At 37.1% G+C, this 25,907-nt stretch overlaps 1 long non-coding RNA gene across 1 annotated transcript in view, besides 1 other annotated feature; it reads left to right on the top strand.

The window, feature by feature from the left end:
• The first annotated feature begins 1,172 nt into the window (after nt 1-1,172).
• The window catches only part of LOC105375733 (uncharacterized), a 41,305-nt gene continuing 16,570 nt past the window's right edge, over nt 1,173-25,907 (top strand). Inside the window, exon 1 of the long non-coding RNA XR_928599.4 lies at nt 1,173-1,752. This is a non-coding gene — a long non-coding RNA (uncharacterized LOC105375733). The remainder of the gene's footprint in view (nt 1,753-25,907) is intronic.
• Nucleotides 1,692-2,362: an enhancer, noted in NCBI's record as "OCT4-NANOG hESC enhancer chr8:123391043-123391713 (GRCh37/hg19 assembly coordinates)". NCBI's record gives its function as "activates a minimal SCP1, AML or CMV promoter by ChIP-STARR-seq in naive H9 embryonic stem cells {active_cell/tissue: H9 hESC(naive)}" and the evidence as "EXISTENCE:reporter gene assay evidence [ECO:0000049][PMID:30033119]".

Here is a 25,907-nt window from a genome sequence, read left to right as displayed (position 1 = left end):
TTAGTATGTATCATTAAATCAACAAACATTTACTGGCCACCAACTTTGTGCTGGATATGGGACTGCAAGGTTTAATGAAGAACTTAAGGTTTAGTGAGATAAACAACAACTATAACGGAACACTCATTTTGGTCTGTGTGATGATTTGTAAGATGATCAAAGATTTCCATTCAGTGCACAGTACTCAGCGTATTAATTTCAAATAAAAAAATTGTCAGAAAAAAATTAGGAAACTTATGAAGAAGAGAAGAATGTCAGCAGGGAACTCTAATTAGATTAATGATTAGAGCTGAAGGTGCCAGGTTCAGCTCCAGGTGCCTTATATTATACTGTAACTCATTTAATTTTTGCAACAACTACATGACACGAGTGCTGTTATTACCCATGATGTACAGGTTAGTAATCTAAGGAACAGAGAGGTAAGTCATTTTCCCAGGGTCACATGGCTTGTGGGGCTGGGTTTTAACCCAGGTAGCCTACCTCTGGAACCTATGAGGTTAGCCATGTTGCAAAACTGGCTTCCAGGTTAGTCACAGGATTGACTTTGCTTGCTCATGCTTATTCTCTGCACACCATTCCCTCTCCTGCTCATGCTCTCCCATTCTACCTCTCCCTTCTCTTTCCATTGTAGAATGGAATAGAATATAAAGGAGATAAAGACGTCACATTTCATAGATCATGAGAAGACAAAGTGAACTCAGGTCTTTCCTTAACTAACTCTGATGGGCCAAGCAGCAAGTGCAAACCAGTTTAGTGGAAGCTGAGAAAAACCCTGAGCAGAGTTGAGGTGAAATTGTTATACTAAGCACAAGATCCTGGACCATGCATGTTTATAGTGAGAGAGTAGAAGTTGGGGATATCCATTGGCAGAAAACTCTCTCTCTCTTTCTAATGTGAGAATATTCAGAAAGAAGGTATACAAAAGGCAGTTTTTTAAAGCAATGACTTCTCCTAAGTTTTCACTTTTGGCAATAGTGTTTTCATGATATGAGCATTAGCTAGTCATAAATATAGTTTTAAGCTTGGTTTTAATAAATTTTAGATGATAGCTAATATTTAAAGCAATTAGTGTGTACCAGGCATTGTTATATATTATTTTACTGTATTAATCCATTTGGTCTTTTTAACAACTAAGAAAATTATATACAACTATTTTACAGATGAGAAAACAGAAGAGTCGTGAGAGGCCAGGTCACTTGCCCAAGTTCACACAGTCACACAACTGGCACAAAGTACTGCTTTGAAGCCAAATTGACCGACTGCAGAGCCCATTCTCTTAACCCTTTCTATAACAAGAGTACCTGTATCTGTTTGCCTGGCATATTGTAGGCACTCAATAAACATTAGTTTATTTATGGAATTACATGAATTCTTGTTGGGAATGCTTGCCATTACAGATCCCATCTTTTTAAAAAATTGGGATAACTATTACATTAAAATGAAAAGTTCAAGCCAGAATTGGGAAGTAGAGCAGAAATAAGAGCCGCAGAAACTTTCACAATAAGAGCGTCAGCTTTTTCACAGCCCACAAGTCATTTCAAGCCATTTTCCAAGCATGCCTCTCTCATGCCTCTGTGATGTTTCTAGGGACATTTAGTGCTTGAAGTATCTTATATTATTCGATGAGTGCAATTCACGTTTATCTTTCAAAAGTTCCTGCTTAATAGCCTCTGATATGAAGTTTGTATACTTCCTCTTCAGTTATCAAGGACTCCGTTCTCCCTCTCCAAGCTGACAAGAAAACTACACCAGGTAAGGAAGACTTCATTTAAGACTTTTGCAATAGAGGATGAAGATTGAACTCAATTCTGCTCAAACAAAAGCAGGCTGATTTTTGAGCACTGGGTGAGCTAGTGGAAAAGTCCTGGAAGACTTTAGCAGGGTGGTTAGTCAATTTGATTAGGTCATCTGTGTTTGCTAACTGTTGCTTGTCTAAGTTAAGCTCCTATTCTCTCATAGAAACTGGGAGATGGGGTCTCTCTCTTTCTTGATAATTACATTTCAAAGGGACAGCTCCCAGGTCCTTGAGAAAGACATTCTTGGGTTGTAAAACTGGCAGGAGATTGGGAGAAGATTTGCATCTCAAAGAGTCAAGAAAGAATTTACAATTAAAAGTTTCCTACCATAAATGGTCTAAGAAAAGGAGGTCAGGGGCCTCTAGTCAGGAAGAAATCTTTCTAAAGTTGAATCAAGCTGGGGAGAACTTTAGTGGTGTTTTGGTCATAGCACAAACCTCTTTTATACTGGCTTTCATTGTATTATAACCAAGTCTTTTGCCTCATAAAACACAAGCCTCTTAAACAGTAAGTCATGGCCTGACTGCATCAAGCTCAGTGCCACGCTCATTGAAATACCCAGTAACTGTTTATTAAATGAATATATAAAGACTCCAAACACACATAATAAAAAGCCCTGGGGTACCTGGCTGTTTACTTCTATTTCTATCCTGAAATGCCTTTTGCTGTAGACTTTAACAGATGTGAAACTGAAAGGAGAGCTTTCTCTTGTGTAATTTTTCCTTTCAAGTAAATCGAATTGAAAGAGTCTTCCTGAGAGCAAATGTTAGGAGTTAATCTTATTGCGGATGACAGTTATGTCTAAAATGTCTTCTTCTATAAGCACCTATTTTCTCTCTGCTTGTTGATAGAGCTCTCTTGTTAGGTCCCTTTGCCATCTGGCTGCCCTATCTGTATCCTATATGTATCCTATATACACTTGTGATATAGTCTTTATCCAGGAGAGTGTTGTAAGAAGAGCACACCAAATAAAGAGGCAGAAGGCTTGGGTCTGAGGTGCCTGGGTCTGTTCCAACTTAGTTCTTGTTGTTTGAGACAGGGTCTCACTCTGTTGCCAAGCTGGAGTGCAGTGGTGTGATCATAGCTCACTGCAGCATTGACCTCCTGGGCTCAGGCGATCGTCCTGCCTCAGCTTCCTGAGTAGCTGGGACCACAGGCACATGCCACCATGCCCAACTAATTTTTAATTTTCCTTCTTTTTTTTTTTTTGTAAAGACAGGGTCAAACTATGTTGCCCAGGCTGGTCTTGAATTCCTGGGCTCAAGTAATCCTCCCACCCGGGCCTCTTAATGTGCTGAGATTATACAGGCATGAGCTACTGTGCTCAGCCTCCAACTTACTTTTTGAAGGCAAATATTCTACACTGAGTGGCCGCATTGGCTTATGGACAAAGAGTACACATTAGGCTATTTCACATTAAAACTGCAGTTTCCAGAATCTCTTGGAAAGTTTGAAGCCCTGTTCTGTTGGAAGACTGTCATTTCATGCAACAATAGTTCTCGTCATTCCTCCACACTCAGCCTACTCCATTCATATATATCACCTGCCTGGTGCACGGTCAGCCCAATTTCTTCCTCTTTCCAGGACTCAATTTCTTCATTTATTAAGTGGAGTAGGTCTACTAAGAGGAGGAGGAATAATACTTTGTAGGAAATTTAGGAGAATAAATGGAATTTTATTAATGGTATTAATGGTCCATGTTATTTACACATTTCATATCCAGGTTTTATTTTTACTGCTGGTATAGAATAAATATATTGCTTGGATCTGCTTATCAGACAAATTTGATGGTAGCTAAAATATGTTGATTTTCTGCTGACATTAACCAGTTAACTCATTCAAAACACTCACAAAATGTACATTAAGGCATTCCTTAAGGATCTTCTTAGTTGAGTAAACATAATATATCAGTCATCCAACCTTCCATTCTTCCACCTACCATGTGTTTCCTTTGTGGATTAAACATTATATCAAGTGTTAAAGGTACATCATCATTATACAATATCTAAGTTGACTGACCATTAACTATGCAGTGATTACATTAGTTCATTATTTCACTTAATCTTTACAACAGTCATATAATTTAAGTAATATTTCCGTTTTAGAATGAGGAAACTCAGGCTCAGAGAAATTAGACAACGTTCTCAACGTTGCCAGGACTGTTAGGTGGCAAAAATTAGAATACATTAACAATACATAGTATTCACCTTCAAGAAATTCATAGTTTTATAGGGGAAGACCAAAGAGTATTCTTCAAATTTTTACTGTTTTTAACAGATTATAAACTTTAACGAATTTTCTCTAATCTAAGCTTCAACTAATCTAGATAGGTTGACATATCTCTTTTTTCAATCCTGTAGTAACTAAAATAAAACAGAGAAAATAAAATAGAGAAATAAAACAGAGAAATAACTATAATAAAACTATAGCTCCATTGTATAAAGTTAATATTGAGAAATTATTAGCAACATTAATTTTCTTTTTGTCTCTGAAGCTAAAAGTATTTTCATTTCTCCTTTTCTTTCTCCAAAATGCACACAAATTTTGGACCCTATGTGTGCCTTTTGGTGAGGTTGGGATACGTAAAATGTGAAGACCTTTGCTACTTAGACTTCATCTACAGCTCCCCTTTTGAGCAAACCATTAGCATATATAGAAGATATTAAGAGTCAGGCACTGTGCTTTAATAAATAAGACACTTGCCTACCCTGGTTGACATAATTGGGCTATTATTCAGGTTTTTCCTTTCTCCTGCCCTTCTAAAATATTTTCTGCTTCTCCAGAAGTTGATTTTTCAGCTTTGTGTAATACCATATTGTTTATGTTCACCTTGTATTTTACCATGTGGAACCTGGAATGATTTCTTAGAAGAAAGACTACTTTTCCATTCTCTGGTAGTTTCCATTATGTTCTCTTCAGAGTTATTGTTCTACTTTTTCTTCTTTTTCTCTCTTCAATAATGTTTAAGACAAAAAAGTCCCCCTTTCTTCCTGAAAGGGTGCCATCAGTAGCAACAGACCTCAAAACTCCTCAATGGCAGACCTATATCTCTTGGTACAATTTTCTTGGGTTACATCTAACTGTGGAACTCCCCTAATAAAAATCTTTCAACTGAGCTTCTCAATGCCCATTAGGATAAATTCCAAGCTCTTCATTTCAAGATCACAATAAGCTCTTTATAATTTGTCCCTGCTTGCTGGGATTTTATATTTTACCACTTTCTCCCTTGAGCATGAAGCTTAATTTTCATTCTGAATCTTCATTTCTTCAAAGGCAGAAGCTACCACTGGCCTTTGAAATCTTTTGCCCCTATTTTAATGTCTTTTGCAGGCTTTTAATAGCTATTTATTTAAAGCTGATTCTTGTTATTTAAGGTATTTATGTTTTATAAAGTTGCTGCAACACTGCATTAGCAGATATTAAACCATTGCTCCTAGAGGATATGTATGTAAAGATTATAATCTTAAATCCTAAAAATAACTCATCCTGGTGGATTCTGTTTTCTTTATTCTACGAAAGAGTAAACAAGGTCCAGAAATGTTAAGTGACTTGCCTGAAGCTGCCCTACTAACAGGGGCCGGAGTTGAGATTGAAACCCGATTCAGCTGGAGCAGTGTTGGAGCTCTTTGCACCAGGTGGTGCATTCCTTACATCTCCATCTTCTACTCATGTATATATAAGAGCCGAAACAAAGAGGAAGGGTTCCACCTGGTTCATGCTCACCTGCAAACATGTGAGTTGAGGCAGTCAAAATGCACGCCATTTTGAGCATGTCTGTAAATGATGGGAAAGTGCTGTAAGTATTGATTCTGGGGTTCCAAGCACATTTTAGTGATAGATTATTTTGCAAATACAGAATCTGCTAATAGTCGGAATTGACTGTGCAAGCCTCAATTGCTACTCTTAGAATGGGTTACATATTCCTGCTGGTTGCTCTTGAACTTCCTGTATTATAACCTTTATCATACAGTATTGGAATTGCCTATTTCATTATCCTCCTACCCTGTGACAGTATATAATATACGAGAATAGGGAGTTTCCTCTATTATTCTTCTTGTTCTCCAGGTCCTGTCCCAGCACTTGACATATAACAGAAATCCAAAAAGTGCTTGTTGACTATGCAATCTAATGAAAACACTACAAAGCATAATATAAACAAGTGGTAGGAAGTGGTACCCCTCTATTACACCACCAAGATTGTACTACTCATGCTATATGGGTTTCACACTGCTGTGCTTATACAACCACCTTAGTACTGGGGGCTAGCAAGTCTTTGGTTAGAAACTTACCAACAAAGACAAATGGGCAAGTGCTTTGAGGACGTTTTGATCAACTTTCCTACAGTTCTTGTGAAAGGCAATGATAATGAAGCAACTTTGAGGCTCTGGGTGTTTCCTCCATTGTTTTCTTATATCAGGAAAGCCTTTAACAGATATAAGTGGAGTCATTATTTCAAAGGGTTCTTGTATTAACTTTAATTAGAAGATATTTCTTCTTTTACCCAACACACCCATAAAATAATAGCTGTGTAAGAAGCTTAAAAGGGAGGCTGACAAGTCCAATTTCCACATCTTATCTTTGAATATAGAGAAATTGTCCAAGTGGCACATATTTTGAAATGCTAGTCACTGAAGTAGTTTGAAAAGGTCAAAGTCAAACTGCTTTGTCCTGCGACTAATTTTAACCATGCCCTTCTACTTGTGGAGGGACAATTATCTTGTAGAAAGAATAAATATATTGCAATATGAGGAGTAAACTTTTATTTCAATGGGAAAAATTCTCATTTTGATACAATAAAATTCGTTAAAAACCTATCATGTCACATCTGATAGAAAATGAACCCACTCATGATTGATATGATTATGACTAACACTGAATAAGTCTAAGAGGCATTTCTCTTGGACCTCCACTCTATTGGTGATGTCCAAGCTGCCATGAGGAAATTTGCTCTGGCCACAAACCAAGTCATCATAGGAACCATGGACCGAACTCCAGTCCTCCGGCTCTTAGGCAATTGCCTTATACATCACACTGCCCTTCTAATCTCAGCCATGTTTATCTTGAGAATAAAGCTTGGCAAGACGTAATGAAAACATGGTCATTCCAAAATTTTTATGAAAATAAATGATTTTCTCATTTCAATATTGAATTTCTTTCTGAGTTCTCACTTTTTTTTAAGTAACCATCAGATGAGGGTCTCAAAAATTAGATTTTTTTGGCTAATTTGAGTAACTTAGTTACAAAATTAAAATATAACATTTGTTATAACATTGATTTAATCCTTCTAAGCAAGAGAGCTCTTGAATAGGTTCAAGATTGTTTGGGAAGGAAGTACTGACCACTTGCCAATGATAACTGCCAATGATAGACAGTAAAATAGCCCCTGGTGACAAGTCTTCAAGGTGAACTTAATTGGAAATAATTTGCATTGATCTTATTTTCCTCTCCCATGATGAGCTATGCTGTAAGAATGTAGATGTGAAATGTTCTTACTTAGAATTGGTTATTTCTAACTCATTAAGTTGGGTTTTTAATTTTTGTCTCCAAAGGAGTAAGGCCAAGTTAGAATGTGCAGAATGTTAGTAGTTTAGAAACCTAATAATTTGGCAAGTTTGTTTTTTAGCACCAATGATAATTTCACTGATGTCTTTAAATGCACATTGTGCCTGAGTTTTTCTTTTTAAATGTTTTATTTATTCTTAGGCGTAATTGGTATCGAAGCCACTGTTCTTTTTTGTCAAATATTTATGGGGTAGTCCTAGACAACCACATCCCTCAAATACTTTGTCCTTTCTTCTTTTCTTTCTTTTTGTCTCTGCCCCCCACAAAGTTTCTATATAGTTTTGTTAATTTTTCTTTCACCTCCATATTCTATCATCTTCCCATTTTTTGTCTCTCCTTTTATACCCTATGCTTTCATATGTGACCCAAGCCACTAAATAAAAGGAAACTGATAAATCAGAGCTACTTCTTAGATATTTTTTAAACAATTTAGACCCTCAAGTTAACTTTTGTAATAAACCTAAATTTAAAATGACTTGACAATAATACCCAGAGGGTGTGTACTGTCAATTGTCATCATTTTTTCCCACATTTTGTTGATGGAATTAACAGAGAAAAGGTAAAAATGACTCTGAAGAGAAATATAATCTTAATATATTAGCTTAAAAAAATTAATTAAAAAGAAAGAAAACAGGCAGTCAAACTGATGGAGATTCTGATTCTTTTGAACCTTTTATGCTGGTCTCTTTTTGTTAGGTTTCATGCTTTATACACAGAAATAGTTGAAGAGTTCAAAGACCTGTTTAAGTACTAATTAAAAATTTTGTGGTTTCTAAACACTATTGATAAGATTTGGAATTTTGTAGAAAAAACACTATTTATGATGCTTCTCCATAGTTAATCATGGGAATAAATTGCCAAAACAGTTACAAGAATTTAGAGGTTGATTTTCTTTTTGGCATAACTGTAAGTGTAAATTTGTTTATGCTGGCTTCTGTCAACCTCAAATCTTCTACTAATAAAATATTTAAAAATATGGCTTGCTATTTGCCCACTAAGAAGAGATATTTTGAAAGTTGTTATGGTATTCAAACAGATATTTAGGTCTAGAAGAAAGAATTTATAATGAGTTTAATGTTCAAACATTGTCTAGTGTTGCTTGCATAATAATCAGTGTTATATACATTTATCAAAATAAACCCCAACACAAAAGAATTCTTGATTTTTTAAGGATAAACATAAATACAAATTCAAAAGTGAAGATTCTCAAGAATGTTATTAAAATTATGACCCAGAGGATGAAAGTGCAAACTTTAAAGAACTACTCAAGACTTATTGAGGAGAATATTTTAGTTTATTTTGCCCTTGAATGCATATTTTAGTTATGTTTGCCTAAACTTGCATGGTTGTGTGTGTGTGTGTGTGTGTGTGTGTGTGTGTGTAAAACAGTTTCTGTAACTATTCAGTTGACTCAGTTGTGAAACACAGTTATTATGATGTGCTGGAAAACTGGAGACTAAAGATGTTAATCCTGAGACATACATGTCTGAATCTCTGGTGATTATAATGAATAAGCTATTCAGTTGTATCCAATGTAACTACTCATTGTTGCCCTGGAACATACACGAAACATCTGCTAATAAGGGCACGTGTGACTGTTGTAAATCCGCATTTATTCTTATTCTGGAATTCAAAGGAAAGAATATGGCAACAGTCCACCCCTCCCCAATTCTCATGGGGTAACTGAACATAGAGAGGAAATGGTGTCTTTTTGCCCCACAGAACCAAAGGAATTTGGTCCTTTATTCAACAGTTTTTGAATACACACATTGATGTAGACATTAGCTACCCATGGGTTTATGTTTCTGTCAATTCCTTTTTCATTTGGAACTCAGGCCTGACTGTTTTTTAGTTAATGATGGGAACACATGTTCAGCTTGCTGTTTCTACTGAATTTCAGTCAAATTTGCTGTCTGGTAACAGAATTATTTTCTTATTCCAACAACTCACTCTCTGCAGAGGAGTGAGAGTGATTTTCAAAAACATAAATGTAGTTACAAAATGTTCCTGGTTACAGTCTCAAAATGTTATCAATTGCACTTAGAATTAAAAAAAAAAAAAAAAACCCTCCTCATCTTGTTCTACAAAATCCGAGATGATCTATCAAACATCGTTTTATGCTAATTCCTTCCCAGACCACTCAGCTCCAATCAGCTCCTCAAACGCCCCAGGCTTCTTCCTGATGCAGAAACTTGGATAGGCTGTTTGTCTGCCTGAACACTGCCCCATATTCTCATCTCAGCCTAGGTCTTTGCATGAAAATTTTTGTTTCCTCCTTTATTATTTTTTTTTTACATCTTTTTAAAACTTTCGTTTTTAAGACCAAGGGTACATGTACCTGTTTGTTATACAGATTATTTCATCACCCAGGTGTTATACCTAATACCCGTTAGTTATTTTTCCTGATCATCTCCCTCCTCCCACCCTCCTTTCTCCAAGAGGCCCCAGTGTGTGTTGTTCCCCTCTATGTGTCCACGTGTTCTCTTTTCTTCTGAGGTCATTCCGATTGACCCACTAAGAAACTTCCATCATTTCTCATAGCGCATTAATCAGGGGTCTCTAAAGGGACACAATAGGATAGATGAATATATGAAGGGGAGTTTATTAGGAAAATTGACCCACAGGATCATAGGGTGATCCCATAATAGGCCATCGGCAAACTGAGGATCCAGGAAGCCAGTCTGAGTCCTAAAACCTCAAAAGTAGGGAAGCTGATAGTGTACCCTTCAGTCTGTGGCTGAAGGCCTGAAAGCCCCTGGCAAATCACCGGTGTAAGTCCAAGAGTCCAAAAGCTGAAGAACTTGGAGTCTGATGTTCGAGAGCAGGAAGCATCCAACACGAGAGAAAGATGAAGGCTGGAAGACTCAGCAAATCTGTCCTTTCCGTTCCTGCTTTCATGGTAGCAGCTAATTAGATGGTGCCCAGACTGAGGGTGGGTCTGCCTCTCCCAGTCCACTGACTCATATGTTAATCTCCTTGGCAACACCCTCACAGACACACCCAGGAACAACACTGCACCCTTCCGTCCAATGAGGTTGACACTCAATATTAACCATCACACATAGTATGCCCTTTATTCTTTATAATATTTATTACAATTCTAAATTATATATTTGCCTTTTAACTTTTTTGTTTGTTCCCAAGACTAAATTAAAAAATATTTCCTCTGTCATGGATTTTATACCTAAAACATATTCAATAAACAATGAGAATAACTAAATGAGTGGATGAACAAATAACTTCAGCACATGAGCAGAATTAAATAGCATAGGTTTCTACAAAGTGGCAAAAAGAAGCTAGAGATTCTTCCCAAGAACTTTCTCATCTTAATCATGAGGCATCTGAGGGACAAGCTCTGAATGAATAGATGTATTTTATATATATATATACATATACATACATATATATATTTTATTATACTTTAAGTTCTAGGGTACATGTGCACAATGTGCAGGTTTGTTACATATGTATACATGTGCCATGTTGGTGTGCTGCACCCATTAACTCATCATTTACATTAGGTATATCTCCTAGAGAACACTTGGACACAGGAAGGGAAACATCACACACCGGGGCCTGTTGTGGAATAGATGTATTATTTAAGGCAGGATAGATCCACTTCTTGTAGGGATGGTGGTAACTGCTTAGATAGCCCAAATGAAACTCTTGATAGGTTACCAAATCTCATGGTTAATATTAGGTGTCAACTAGATTGGATTGAAGGATGCCTAGATAGCTGGTAAAATGTTGTTTCTGGGTGTGTCTGTGAGGGTGTTGCCAGAGGAGATTGACATTTGAGTTAGTGGACTGAGAGAGGAAGACCCAACCTCAATGTGGGTGGGCAGCATCCAATCAGCTGCCAGTGTGACTAGAACAAAGCAGGTGAAAGAAGGTGGAATGAGCTGGCTTGCTGAGTCTTCTGGCTTTCATCTTATTCCCATGCTGGATGTTTCCTTCTGTTCCTCCCACCCTCCTGCCCTTGGACATCAGACTCCAGGTTCTTCGGCCTTTGGACTCTTGAACTTACACCCGTGGTTTGTTTGCCTGGGGCCCTTGGGCCTAAGGCCACAGACTGAAGGCTACACTGTCAGCCTCCCTATTCCCTGCTTTTGAGGCTTTTGGACTCAGACTGAGCCACTCCTGGCTTCTTTCGTTCCTAGCTTGCAGATGGCCTATTGTGGGACTTCACCCTGTGATTGTGTGAGCCAATTCTCCCCTTTCATATATACATATATCCTATTAGTTCTGTCTCCCTGGAGAACCCTGATTAATACCCCAAGTGAGCAATAACTTTTTTTTCACTACAACCTGAAGAGGCGCAATGCATAGACTTGGGCTATAGACACATATGGAAGGATGCTCTTGAATTCAAATATGAAAGCAGCACCTGAGAAACTGATTCTTAAGAAAGAAAGGCAGTTTGAAACCAGCCCATTTCAGATAGAGAGACTTGGAGTTGTACAGACCTGAAGCATTGGACTAATTATAAACCATGCATCTCTCCTACTGTGAAGAGATTATTTCATTCCACCGTTTGATTAAACACATGATAGTGAAGGGTGATAGGTGTAAGGAAAGAGAATTTGGTGATATGGAGTATCGTAGTATGGAAACTGTATCAGTCTGCTTGGGCTCCCATTAAAAAATACCATAGACTCGGTGGCTTACACAACAGAAATTTATTTTTCACAATGTTAGGGGCTGGGAAGTCCAAGGTCAAAGTGCCTACTGATTCGGTTTCTAGTGAGGGCTCTTCTCCTGGCTTATAGAAAGGGGCCTTCTTGCTGTGTCCTCATCTGGAAGATAGAAAGAGAGAGATCTCTCTCTTGCCACAGTCCTATAGGATCAGGGCCTCACCTTTAAGATTTCGTTTAACCTTAGTTATCTCTGAAAGACCTGTCTCCAAATACAGTCACATGGGTGTTAAGGCTTCAACATATGAATTTGAGCAGGGGGCGGGGCAATTCAGTCCATACTAGGAACACACCCTAGTTGCTGAGCTAACATAGTAATAGAACACTAAGTCCTTGGTGTGTATCACACTGACACAGAGCACTTTACACATTTTTCTCATTTAATCCTTTTAATGGCCTATAAGGAGAGTCCTGTTTATAGTGGCAAACCGAGACTTTGTGTTGTGTTTTAAAGCTTGTCTTTTACAGTCACTTAATTTTACTTGTAAACAAAATTTTTGCAAAAAGTTATGTCTTTAATTCTCTTCCTAATTTTAGGAATGTATGCACACTAATTGAAATAAGGTTATGGTTAGTGGCTTGAGTGTGAAGTCAACTTGCTATGATAGTACTTTCATCTTGAAGTGGACAAACATGATTTTCTACAACAAATAATTTAATAAATGTGGTTTCCTATAATTTTTTTAAAAAACTCTCCAAGGTTACAAGTCCTTGTAATTATTAAACCAAATCTCTGTAAGTTTTAGATTTGTTCACCTCTCTGATGACATTGTATAGAATAACTATAGATAGAATTTATTTGTTTTGTATGTAAATATTTTCTCACCCATTCCTTAACTACTGACAAATTTTAACAACCAGCTCAGGGTTTTGTCCCCTCCAGTACCTAAGCTAACTATTAGGTACTGGATGTGACAGTTGTTTCAGTGGCTTAGGGCTTCTAGTTTCATTTATAAATTCATCCAGAGCTGAGTTAAAGAATGTGAGACTGATTATATATTTTATTCTACACTTACAATAGGGAAACTGAGACCCAGTGATTATAAAACTGTCTCACAACACTCCCAGCAAGAAAAGTAACTTGAAGCTCAAGCTCATTCCCATAAGATGCATTGTCTTAACCACCCCACTCTTTTTTTTTTTTTTGTATGTTGCTGAGGATGCTCTACTTTTCTTAATATGTAGAAGAATTTTCTGACTTAATAAGTTTTCTTCCAGTACTTTTCAAGTAATCCCCTAATGTTTCTTATCCTTTATGGGCTCTCTTTCTCTTCCCCTCACTTTCTTTAACAATTTATTCTAAACAAAGCACAAAGAAAGTTTGACTACCAAATTCTCCTCTCTGGTATCTAGTTTTTTGTGATGACTTATTTTTAATCATGAATATATTCTTGTGATATGATTTGGCTGTGTCCCCACCCAAATCTCAACTTGAATTGTATCTCCCAGAATTCCTACATGTTGTGGGAATGACCCAGGGGGAGGTAATTGAATCATGGGGGCTGGTCTTACCCATGCTATTCTCGTGATAGTGAATAAGTCTCATGAGATCTTACCCATGCTATTCTCGTGATAGTGAATAAGTCTCATGAGATCTGATGGGTTTATCAGGGGTTTCCACTTTTTCTTCTCTCTCATCTTTCTCTTGCTGCTGCCATGTAAGAAGTGCCTTTTGCTTCTCGCCATGATTCTGAGGCCTCCGCAGCCATGTGGAACTATAAGTCCTATTAAATCTCTTTCTGTTCCCAGTTTTGGGTATGTCTTTATCAACAGTGTGAAAATGAACTAATACATCTTGTTAAAATTGATAAATTCCAGGATTTCTTGCTTTGTGGTTGGACTATAAAACATACGTGATCATCGTGGTTCAGGATCTTGGCTGAATTCTGAATTAAAGGGGTGTATAAGTGAATGATCCCTTTGGTGACTCCTGGGCAAATTTGAAGTTCATGCATGCAGTTCCAGGTTCCATTTCTAAGTACTAAAGGCTTGTAAATTCATCTTCAAAAATAGTAGGTTTGTGTCTCTTGGGCGACTCCTGAGGACCATAACTCTTAAACTTGCTCTTAATTTCACAGTTTTGACAGTTATTGTTGCCCTATTTTAAATGCTCTTAATGATTTTTTCTTTTTAAAGATTTTCCTTTGTGGTAATGATGTTTGCAAGTATTAGAAAAGAATTATTCTCCCTCTTAGTTTTTTCCATATAACCTTTAATTCAAACTCCTGGATATGATCTGTAGAGTTAAAATGTGTTTCTAACACAGGAAAGTATGCTCCTTAAGTGTCTATATTAGTCAGGGTTCTCTAGATGTACAGAATTAATAGGATATATACATACATATACATATGTATGTATATAAAGGGGAGTTTATTCAGGAATATTAACTCACACAATCACAACGTAAGGTCCCACAATAGGCCATCTGCAAGCTGACAAGCAAGAAAGCTAGTCTGAGTCCCAAAGCTGAAGAAGTTGGAGTCCAATGTTTGAGGACAGGAAGCACCCAGCACAGGAGATAGATGTAGGCTTGGAGGCTAGGCCAGCCTAATTTCTCTATGTTCTTCTGCCTGCTTTTATTCTGGCCATGCTGGCAGCTGATTCGATGGTGCCCACCTTCATTGAGGGTGGGTCTGCCTTTCCCAGTCCACTGACTCAGATGTTAATCTCCTTTGGCAATACCCTCACAGACACACCCAGGAACAATACTTTGCATCCTTCAATCCAATCAAGTTGACACACAGCATTAACCATAACAGTGCCTCTTCTGTGCTGCTCCATGTTTTGAAGAAAGATGCTTAGATGATTTTTGCCATAGCATATCAAGCCAGGGTATAGGAACTATTGAGAACAAACAGAGACTTGCAGAGGACTGGCTGCATTTAAGCATTTGCACAGTACACAGACAGCAAAGCTTTCCTTGGCTATCCTACCATGTAGGACATGAATATTGCCCACCTGCTGAGTGTAACTCACATGTTTCCCATCTTTAATGTAAGCTTCAGGTTCAATGGGTCAATATTCATCTCAGCGGATAGTTTTTCTGAGGTCTCAGTTTTCTCCAATGTTCCACTGTAAGCACATAAAAGTAGTGCAGCACTGTGTAAGCATAGTATCACCTAGAATGTTTTGTTTGAGGTATGAGTTTTAATTTATCAGAAACTGTGGCACAGTCCCTAAAAGTCTCTAATTTCACAAGGAATTATGAAGCACTACCTTTGTTCTATTGGAATACTAAGAAGTAAAGACTGACTTATCAAACTCTGAATTGCAAGTAACCTTCCCCTGGGCAAGAGGCACTTTTTTCATCTTTTTATTCTGGAGGCTATCCTGGTACCTAGTACATAGTAGTTGGTTAATGAATATATACTATGTGAATATAGAAATGTTCGAATATTCCTAATATAGCTCAGGTGGGACAATTCTCCCATCTACACAATTGCATCTTCCAAACCTGGTTTAATGCCACACTCAATAAAAAGGAAAGAAGATTTTACTGAAGTGTTCTGGGGGAATGAGCAAGCAGAATCAGATTTTACAATAAATATATCCGATTTTCCTTCACAAGGTTCCTTTCCCATGACTGTTACTCATCTTCATTCTTTCTCATAGCTCTTATCTTGCTTTTACTTGATGCCTCTCTTTCTAGAAATTCCAGTTTTGTTGTAGGTGAGTCAGCTTTGAATTCAACTTATGAACTTCACTCAGTAAAACATAAATGTAGTCATTAGCCAAACTGTGACTCCTTGTTTTTTCTTAAGTATGCTCTTTGGTAGCAGGGCAAGAGGTGGGAAACTCATCTTTTTGTAACCCATAGTCCCCAGTTTGGGGTATACACTGTGAAAAAGTACCTATTTGTAACTGTTGCACCTTGAGTTCCAGTTGTTTCAAAAAGTTCCAGGAAGAAGCTCAGCCCTGGAAATACAAAAACATCTCATTTGGATCCAAAAATACCTGAGTAGGAAATTAATTTTGGGGAACTCCCCTCATTACCATACTAAAAACCCTGCCCAGGGAGGAGCTTATTCTTCATTCTTTGTATATGCAATATATGTAGAAGCATGATCTGCGACTGTGCCTATACCGACTTTACTGCACCTCTTCATGCAATGATGCAGCCAACCAGCCCAATAAAAGCCCTGTTTTCACCATTATTCAGGAGGGCACTGCTTTGAGGGGACTATCGTGATGTCCTTACTTTTGAAAGTAATAAAATCCCCTTGTTAAGTCCTCCTTGGTTGTGGTCATTGGACTGTCACCCACAAGCAATAAAGCTCACCCATTGTGTGGGTAACATTTTCACTTCAAGCATACAATTTATATATGCCCAGTAAATTCTCTTCCAAAGGAGAAATTCTACTGCTGGAACAATGAGGTTCAACCATAATATTCCTCCAATTATTTTCATTTTCTTTCTTTGGCTTCTTAATCTACCTCTGGGACAAATTGTAGTTTGGCATGGAAGGGATTCTGATTCTTAATTATTTATCTGAATTACAGTAATTTTAGTTGTTAATAGAACTTCTTTATTACTGTAGAAGATTAGGGATTATGTTCCAACTCTGTTACAAAATAACTGTGTGACCTCAATCACTCTAAAACTCTATGTTCTTCTGTAAAATCGAGCTCTTTAGAATTAAACCAGTCAGCGGTTTTCAATCTCAGTTGCACATTGGACTCATCAGGGAGTTTCACAAAATATGACGCCTGATTTAATTTGTATGAAGTAATTCTCAAGCATCTAGATTTTTTAAAGCTCCCCAAGTGATTTTAATGCACAGTTGAGGTTGAGGATTACTAACCCAAGAGCTATTGTGATAATTAAGTTAATGTGTATAGAAACACTCTGATAAACTGAAAAGGATTATATGAATATAATTTACTTCTAGAGTTTTTATTAAAGTAAAACTGAGAAGACATTCTAAAATCTTTCTTTCATGCCTGTAGGTAGAAGAACCAAGCTGTCTCAGTTTGCCCAGAACTTTCTTGGTTTTAATACTAAAAATCCCATGTCTTGGGAAATCCCTCTGTCCCAGGCAAAATTTGAGAGTTTGTCATCCTAACTGCAGCTGTTATTGCACAAGTGAGATTTCAGATTTACAGAGTTCAAGAAGAATGTATTATCTCTTTTCTATTTCTCACAATGCTGGGATATTCAATGGAGCTATAAGTTAAAAGAACAGAACTCCTATCTGAATTGAATTGAATGTATTTAAATGTTTCACTGTCTTCTCTCTGCCTCTAAAAAACCCTTTCTATATTCTTTTCCTTGTTTTCCATGTTTTTATTTAGGATAGTTTCTCAACCTGAAAAGTCTTTCTTCTCCATCTTTATCTACCCAACTTTTAAGGTTTTTGGGATTTGGGTGATTATCTAATTGTGGAAGAAAAAAGTAAGGCAGGTAATAGCATTTGTGTTAAAAATTACCTTGGTGATGATTTTTCCCCCTTAAAAATATAAAATTTACACTAACATTTAGAATCAAATAGTGAGACTGGGTATGCTTAAAACATGTCCTGAATAAAAAAAAATGACTTTCTAGAGGTCACTTTGTCCCAGCTGGCATAATGGTTTGATTTAGTAAATTTGCTCTGATAAGTAAAGTAGATCAATTGATTCAGTAATAATTAGGACCCTACTTTGCTGCCTGGCCCTGTTAGGAGAAGTCAAGCCAATGAAAGCCTTGCCCTTAAGTAATGGGATGATGCGTATGCATTTGTTTCTGTTTTGTGTGCATGTTTGTGTGTGCTGGTGTGTGTGCTTGTGTATGTGCTTGTGTGATAGTAGTGCTGGGTGATAGGGATGAAGTTTTCTTCTGTGCCACTGATATAGTTTGGCTGTGTCCCCACCCAAATCTCATCTTGAATTGTATCTCCCATAATTCCCATTGTTGTGGGACTCAGTGGGAGATAATTGGATCATGGTGGTGGTTTCCCTCCTACTGTAGTCATGGTAGTGAACAAGCCTCATGAGATCTGTTGGTTTTATAAGGGGAAACCCCTTTCACTTTGCTCTCACTCTTCACTTGTCTGCCACCATGTGAGATGTGCCTTTCACCTTCTGCCACGATTGTGAGACCTCCCCAGCCATGTGGAACTATACGTCCACTAAATCTTTTTATTTTGTAAATTTCCCAGTCTCGGGTATGTATTTATCGACAGCATGAAAATGGACTCATGCCAGAGATTCTCTGTCATTGTCTGAATCTAGCTCCCTGTTGGAAGGGAAGACTGAGTTACGCATTTTCAATGCTTTCAGATCCCATGGTGTAAGGGCAACCATAGAAGGGTGGTGAAGACACTGAATATTAGTACACAACATCCAGCAAATTACCACATTGACTTTAACTTTATAACTAGGGAAGACAACTGACTCCATATAAGAAAATTACTTTCTGGTAAAATTTGATTTTAATGTTAATAATTTGAAGTCATAAATGGTGTACTCCTTGGCTCCTATGATTGTCCAGGGAACTGACTGAAGGAAGGTCACCACCCATCTCACTGCCTGGAGCATGCCATGCACTCAATAAATGGTGGTTGTCATTACTGTTAGAGCAGCATGAAAGGCAATTAGCTCTTGGCAGCATATTCAGGCCACAAGCCTGAGTCACTCAAGAAACTTGGGCATTGGTCACAGAAATCAGTGTCACTACCACATAGAAAATGGACAGTTGATTGGAAAAACAACATGTTGAGCTTTGGTCTTTTCACATCATACTCTACACCTCATTGCCCAACATTGCCAACATTTTTGAATTTATCCTTGAAGATTCTCTCTCTCTCTCTCGATGTTCTCAGTTTATTCAACAAATGCTTATTGAGTACCTGCTGTATGAAAAAGCACTGTCCTGGGAACCAATGAAATAGAAATGTGACAGTTAATGGCTACCTTTATGGGACTGATAATGATGCAGGGAGAGAAGGAAATGTGTGTTGTGTGTGTGTGTGTGTGTGTGTGTGTGTATTTGGGCACCTGGTGCATATTATGCCATAGGTACTGGTGATAAAGCTGCAATAATAATTTTCTCCTTTGTGGGAATGTGTTGGTATAGTAGGAGGGCTACGACAGGTATGAAAGAGAGCTTGGGGAGATTTAGATATTAAAGAGTTCATAAAAAGAAGAAATGCGTTCCTGCTGGATTTGCTGCTAAACATTTTAAAGAGAGTCAAAAGGTGAAGAAATTGAAAAAATTAATAATGTTGAGGCATATCCCAAGGACACAGGTGCTAACTTAAAGGGATTCCTACTGGCAAAATCTGGGACAATTTGAGTGCAAAATAATCAACAGTAGTAAATGGTCAACCATCAAAAAATCAGTAATCTACTAATTTATCTTAATAATAAATAGGTAGATAGGTGGAAGATGGGGGTGAAAGGAGTTACTGCTCACAGTTCTTGCTAACTGGTAAATGTAGAGAGAATGTGGGGTATGGAAAATCATTTTACAATCATTATAATGAAGAGTGTTTCAGGCAAAACTTATCAGTTAAATGTTTAATCGAGGCAGAAATTTTTATAAGAAGCAGCATGTTTACATTCTTATAAAGTGTTTCTCCCAACTGCTTATTAGTTGTGAAGGAGAAATAAAAACCATACAATAATTTTTAACAATGTATATTACCATTAGCAATGTATGAGTAGGTCTACATTCTCGTCTGTTTGAATTTTAGCTGTTTTCATGAGCTTGAACTCTGGCAACTCAAAAAGCCAGAGTGTCTTCTTACCTCCAAACAATTGCACTAGTTTCCCTGCAATGGTTCTTAACTAGGGTAAAATGGCTGAAATGACAGAAATAGAATTCAGAATATGGATAGGAATGAAGATAGAGATTCAGGTGAAAATCAAATACTCAATCTGAGGAATCTAAGGAATACAATAAAATGATACAGGAGATGAAAGATAAAATCGCCATTTTAAGAAAGAACCAAACTGATCTGAGAGAGATGAAAAATTCACTTCAAGAATTTCAGAAGCAGAATAGACCAAGCTGAGGAAAGAATTTCAGAGTTTGAGGACTAGTTCTCCAAAATAACTCAGTCACATAAAAATAAAGAAAAAACAATAAAGAATGTGAGAAACCTCTGAGAAATATGGGATTATATGAAGAGACAAAATCTGTTACTCATTGGCATCCCTGAATGAGAGGGAGAGAAAGCAACAACTTGGAAAACATATCTAAGGATACCATTCATGAAAATTTCCCCAATCTCACTGGGGAGGCTAACATTAAAATTCAGGAAATGCAGAGAACCCCTGTGAAATACTATGCAAGACAACCATCCTTAAGACACATAGTCATCAGATTCTCTAAGGACAAAATGAAAGAAAAATTGTTAAAAGCAGCTAGAGAGAAGAGGTAGGTCGCTTATAAAGGGACCCCCATCAGGCTAACAACAGACCTTTCAGCAGAAAACCTACAAGCCAGAAGAGATTGGAGGCCTGTATTCAGTAATTATAAAGAAAATACATTCCAACCAAGAATTTCATATCCAGCCAAACTAAGCTTCATAAGCAAAGGAGAAATAAGATCCTTTTCAGACAAATGAATGCTAAGAGAATTCATTACCACCAGGCCTGTCTTAAGAGATATTAAGTGAGTGCTGAGTATGGAAAGGAAAGACCATTACCAGCCACCACAAAAACACACTTAAGTACATAGACCATCAACATTGTACAGCAGCCACACAATCAAGTCTGCAAAGTAACCAGCTAAGAACATGATGGCAGGATAAAATATGCATATATCAATATTAACCTTGAATGTAAATGGGCCAATTAAAAGGCACAGAGTGGCAAGTTGGATAGAGAAGCAAGAAACAACTGTATGCTGTTTACAAGAGACCCATCACACATGGAATAAAAGCCATAGGCTCAAAGTAAGGAAATGAAGAAATATCTACCAAGCAATCTGAAAAAAAAGCATGGGTTGCTATTCTAATTTCAAAGAAAAAAGACTTTAAGCCAAAAATGATAAAAAATGACAAAGAAGGGAAGTACCTAATGGTAAAGAGCTCAATTCAACAAGAAGACACAACTATCCTAAATATCTATGCACCCAACACTGGAGCACCCAGGTTCATAAAGCTAGTTCTTAGAGGCCTATGAAGAAACTTAGTCACACAATAATAGTGGGAAACTTCAACACCCCCTTTACATCAAGGCAGAAAACTAACAAAGATATTTAGGACCTGCACTCGATATTTGACCAAATGGACCAAACAGATATCTACAGAATTTTTAACCAAGAAACAACAGAATGTGCACTCTTCTCATCTGTATATGAGACATACTCTAAAATTGACCACATGATCAGCCATAAAACAATTCTCAGCAAATTAAAAAACCCAAAATAGAAATTATAGCAACCACACTCTTGAACCACAGTGCAATAAAAATGGAAATCAATACTAAGAAAATTGTTCAAAACCATACAATTACATGGAAATTAAACAGCCTCCTCCTGAATGACTTTTGGGTAAACAACGAAATTAAGGCAGAAATTAAGAAATTCTTTGAAACTAATGAGAACAAAGATACAACATACCAGAATCTCTGGGATACAGCTAAAGCAGTGTTAAGAGGAAAGTTTACAGGACTAAACACCCACATAAAAAAGTTAGAAATGTCTCAGTTGAACAACCTAGCATTGCAATTAAAAAAAAAAAAAAACTAGAAAGACTAGAGCAAACAACCCCAAAGCTAGCAGAAAACAAATAATCAAAATTAGAGCTGAGCTGAAGGAAATTAAGATGTGAAAAACCATAAAAAAGATCTGAGTCCAGTTTTTTCTTTGAAAAATAAATAAGACTGATAGACTGCTAACTGGACTAATAAAGAAAAAAAGAGAGAAGATCCCAATAAACATGATCAGAAATGACAAAAGGGTCATTACCATCAACCCAAAAGAAACATCAAAAAACTCTCAGAGTACTATGAACACCTCTATGCATGCACAGAGACTAGAAAACCTAGAATAAATAAATACATTCCTGGAAACGTACAACCTCCAGAGATTGAACCAGAAAGAAATTGAGTCCCTGAAGAGACCAATAATGAGTTCTGTGATTGAGTCTGTAATAAAGGGCCTATTAGCCAAAAAAAAAAAAAATCCAGGACCAGATGGATTAACAGCTGAATTTTATCAGATACAAGAGCTGGCAAAACAATGAACTGGTAAAGCTATTCCGAAGGTCATGAGGAGGAGGGACTCCTTCCTAACTCATTCTATGAGGCCAGCATCATTCTGATACCAAAACTTGGCAGAGACACAACAAAAAAAGAAAACTTCAGGCCAATATGCTTGATAAACGTTGATGCAAAAATCCTCAACAAAATACTAGCAAACGGAATCCAGCAACTTTGTCAAAATGCTAATCCACAACCATCAAGTAGGCTTTAGCCCTGGGATGCAAGGTTGGTTCAATGTATGCAAATCAGTAAATGTGATTCATCACATTAACAAAAGCAAAACCAAAAACCACATGATCATCTCAATAGATGCAGAAAAGACTTTTGATAAAATTTGACATCACTTCATGTTAAAAACCCTGAACAAACTAGGCAATGAGGCAACATATCTCAAAATAATAAAGAGTCCATCTATGAGAAACCCACAGCAAACATCATACTGAACGGGCAAAACCTGTAAGCATTCCCCTTCAGAACAGGAACAAGACAAGGATGCCCACTCTCACTCCTCCTATTCAACATAGTACTGGAAGTCCTAGCCAGAGCAATCAGGCAAGAGAAAGGAAAGGCATCCAAATAGGAAGAGAGGAAGCCAAACTATCTTTGTTTGTAGATGATATGATTCTGTACTTAGAAAACTCAAAAGTCTCTGCCCTAAAACCCCTAGAGCTGATAAACAGCTTCAGCAAAGTTTCAGGATACAAAGTCAATGTGCAAAAATCTTGGTTCTATAAACCAAGAACATCCAAGCTGAGAGCCAAATCAAGAATGCAATCTCATTCACAATAGCCACAAAAGAGTAAAAAGACTAGAAATACAGCTGATGAGATAGGTTAAAGATCTGTACCATAAGAATTACAAAACATTGCCAAAAGAAATTGAGATACACAAGCAAATGGAAACACATGCTATGCTTTGTAAACGAAGAATTAATATTGCTATAATGGCCATACTTGTCAAAGCAATTTATAGATTCAATGCTATTCCTATCAAATTATCAATGACATTCTTCACAGAATTAGAAGAGTCTATTCTAAAATTCATATGGAACTAAAAAAGAGTACAAATAGCTAAGTCAATCCCAAGGAAAATGGACAAAGCATGAAGCATCACATTACCTGACCTCAAACTATATTACAAGGCTAGTGTAACAAAACCGGTATGGTACTGGTATAACAATAGACAAATGGAACAGAATAGAGAGCCCAGAAATAATGCTGCAAACATGCAACCATCTGATCTTTCACAAAGTTGATAAAAACAAGCAATAGGGAAAGACTCCCTATTCAACAAATGGTGCCAGGGTAACTGGGTAGCCATATGCAAAAGATTGAAACTGGACCTCTTCCTTACACCATATACAAAAATCAACTCAAGATGAATTAAGGACTTATATGTAAAATCTAAAACTATAAAAACTCTGGAAGATAACCTAGGAAATGCCATTTTGGACATCGACCCTGGCAAAGATTTCACAATGAAGATGCCAAAAGCAATTGTAACAAAACCCAAAATTGACAAATGCGATCTAATTAAACTAAAGAGCTTCTGCACAGCAAAAGAAACTATCAACAGAGTAAACAGACAACCTAGACTGGGAGAAAATCTTTGTAATCTATACATGTGACAAAGGTCTAATATCCAGAATTTATAAGTAACTCAAATCGGGCAAAAAATAAACATCCCCATTGAAAAGTGGGCAAAAGACATGAACAGACACTTTTCAAAAGAAGATGCACACACGGCCAACAGACATATGAAGAAATGGTCAACATCATTAATCATTAGAGAAATGCAGATCAAAACCACAATGAGATACCATCTCATACCAGTGAGAGTGGCTATTATTAGAAAGTCAAAAAATAACAGATGCTGGAGAAGTTGTGAAGAAAAGAGAAGGCTTATGTATTGCTTGTGGGAGTGTAAATTAGTTCAGCCATTGTGGAAAGCTGTTTGGAGATTTCTCAAATAATTTTAAAAAGATCTATCGTTCAACCCAGTAATCCCATTACTGGTTATATACCCAAATGAGTGTAAATCATTTTACCATAAAGACACATGCAAGTGTATGCTCATTGCAGTGCTATTCACAATAGCAAAGACATGGAATGAACTTAAGTGCCCATTAATATTGGACTGGATAAAGAATATGTGGTACATATACACCATGGAATACTACACAGCCATAAAACGAATGAGATCATGTCTTTTCCAGCAATGTGGATGAAGCTGGAGGCCATTATCCTAAGCATGTTAACCTGGGAGTGGAAAACCAAATGCTACATGTCCTCACTTATAAGTGAGAGCTAAACATTGAGTACACGTGGATGCAAAGAAGGGAACAAGAGACGCTGGGGCCTACTTGAGGGTGGAGGGTGCAAGGAGGGTGAGTTTTTATTAAAAAAACTACCTATCAGGTACTATGCTTATGATACTAGGGTGATGAAAGAATATGTACACCAAACCCCTGTGGCATGCAATTTCCCTATATAACAAACCTGCACGTGTACCCCCGAACCTAAAATAAAAATTAATAAAAATAAGAAAATGCCTAAATCTTGGATACAATGGAAAATTATTCTTTTCCTTCTAATTTTGGGTTTCTTTCTTCTTTTCTGAAATCACAGACAAAAAGCACTCTAGCAAAATAGGAAGAAATATCTATGCTTGGAAAATAATCCATTCCAAGAGATTTATCAACAAAGAGCTAAAATGGTGAGGAATTTAAAGCCTTTCATTCTATTTTATTTTGATTGCTTTTAGGTCTGAGCCAACTTTGTTAGATGTAGAGGAGTTTTACATCTGTCTCTAGCTTCAAAGGCATCTATTTTTTCAACCTTCCTAAATGAGAAAAACAGTCTTTTAGAGGTGTGCTAAAAGATCAAGGCTGCCAAGGCTATAAGTACCCCACTGACACAATATGATTTTCTGTGTCTATATTTTTTACTTACATCTGCAGGCTGTGGATAAGTGCCTGAAAAGTAATCCAATCTCAATCTAGGCATACAATTGTGTTCATGGGAATATCTATCTCCCTGTTAGGGGGAAATGGAAAGATTCAGAAATACACATGAATTAACCTGGTAAGTTGGTAAGTCGTCAGGCAACTTGGTGATATAAAATATTTCAAAAAGACTTTAAGTCATCAGGCTTTTCTGATTCATTTAAAAACCTTATCCTCCTGATATTCAAAAGGTAGTATGGAAGGATTTGATGGAGTACTGATGAGAAAGGTAAGCGACTAGAATATCTGCTCAGATGTGAGAAACCATCTTTACACAAGGGCTCAAGGGGACATTAGGAAAGAGAGACCCTAAGACATCCAACCTTGAGGCCATGAAGAGACCAAAAGATGTATCTAAGAAGCATTCTGTCTGTTGGTTTTACAGGCTGGGGCAGAACTAGCCAGTGGAGTTGGGAGGAGGAAGAAATGTGGTATGATAAGGTGATGGTCTCTATTCTTTTTCAAGGCAGTGGTTTCTGTAAGTCACCAAAAAAGCAAACAAAAACCACCCAGCTTTGTGTGTAGTAGATGAAATGACTCTATCCTTTCTTTGCCAAGGATCTAAAAATAATTTATTCTGTCTGAAGTTATTTTTGATACTTTTAAAGTATTAAAGCAAAAATATTAAAAGTATTATTTTTAATACTTTTAAAGTATTAA

The sequence above is a fragment of the Homo sapiens genome, chromosome 8, assembly GCF_000001405.40.
Source record: "Homo sapiens chromosome 8, GRCh38.p14 Primary Assembly".
NCBI classification, from domain to species: domain Eukaryota; kingdom Metazoa; phylum Chordata; class Mammalia; order Primates; family Hominidae; genus Homo; species Homo sapiens.
This window is presented reverse-complemented; position numbering and strand designations above follow the sequence as displayed.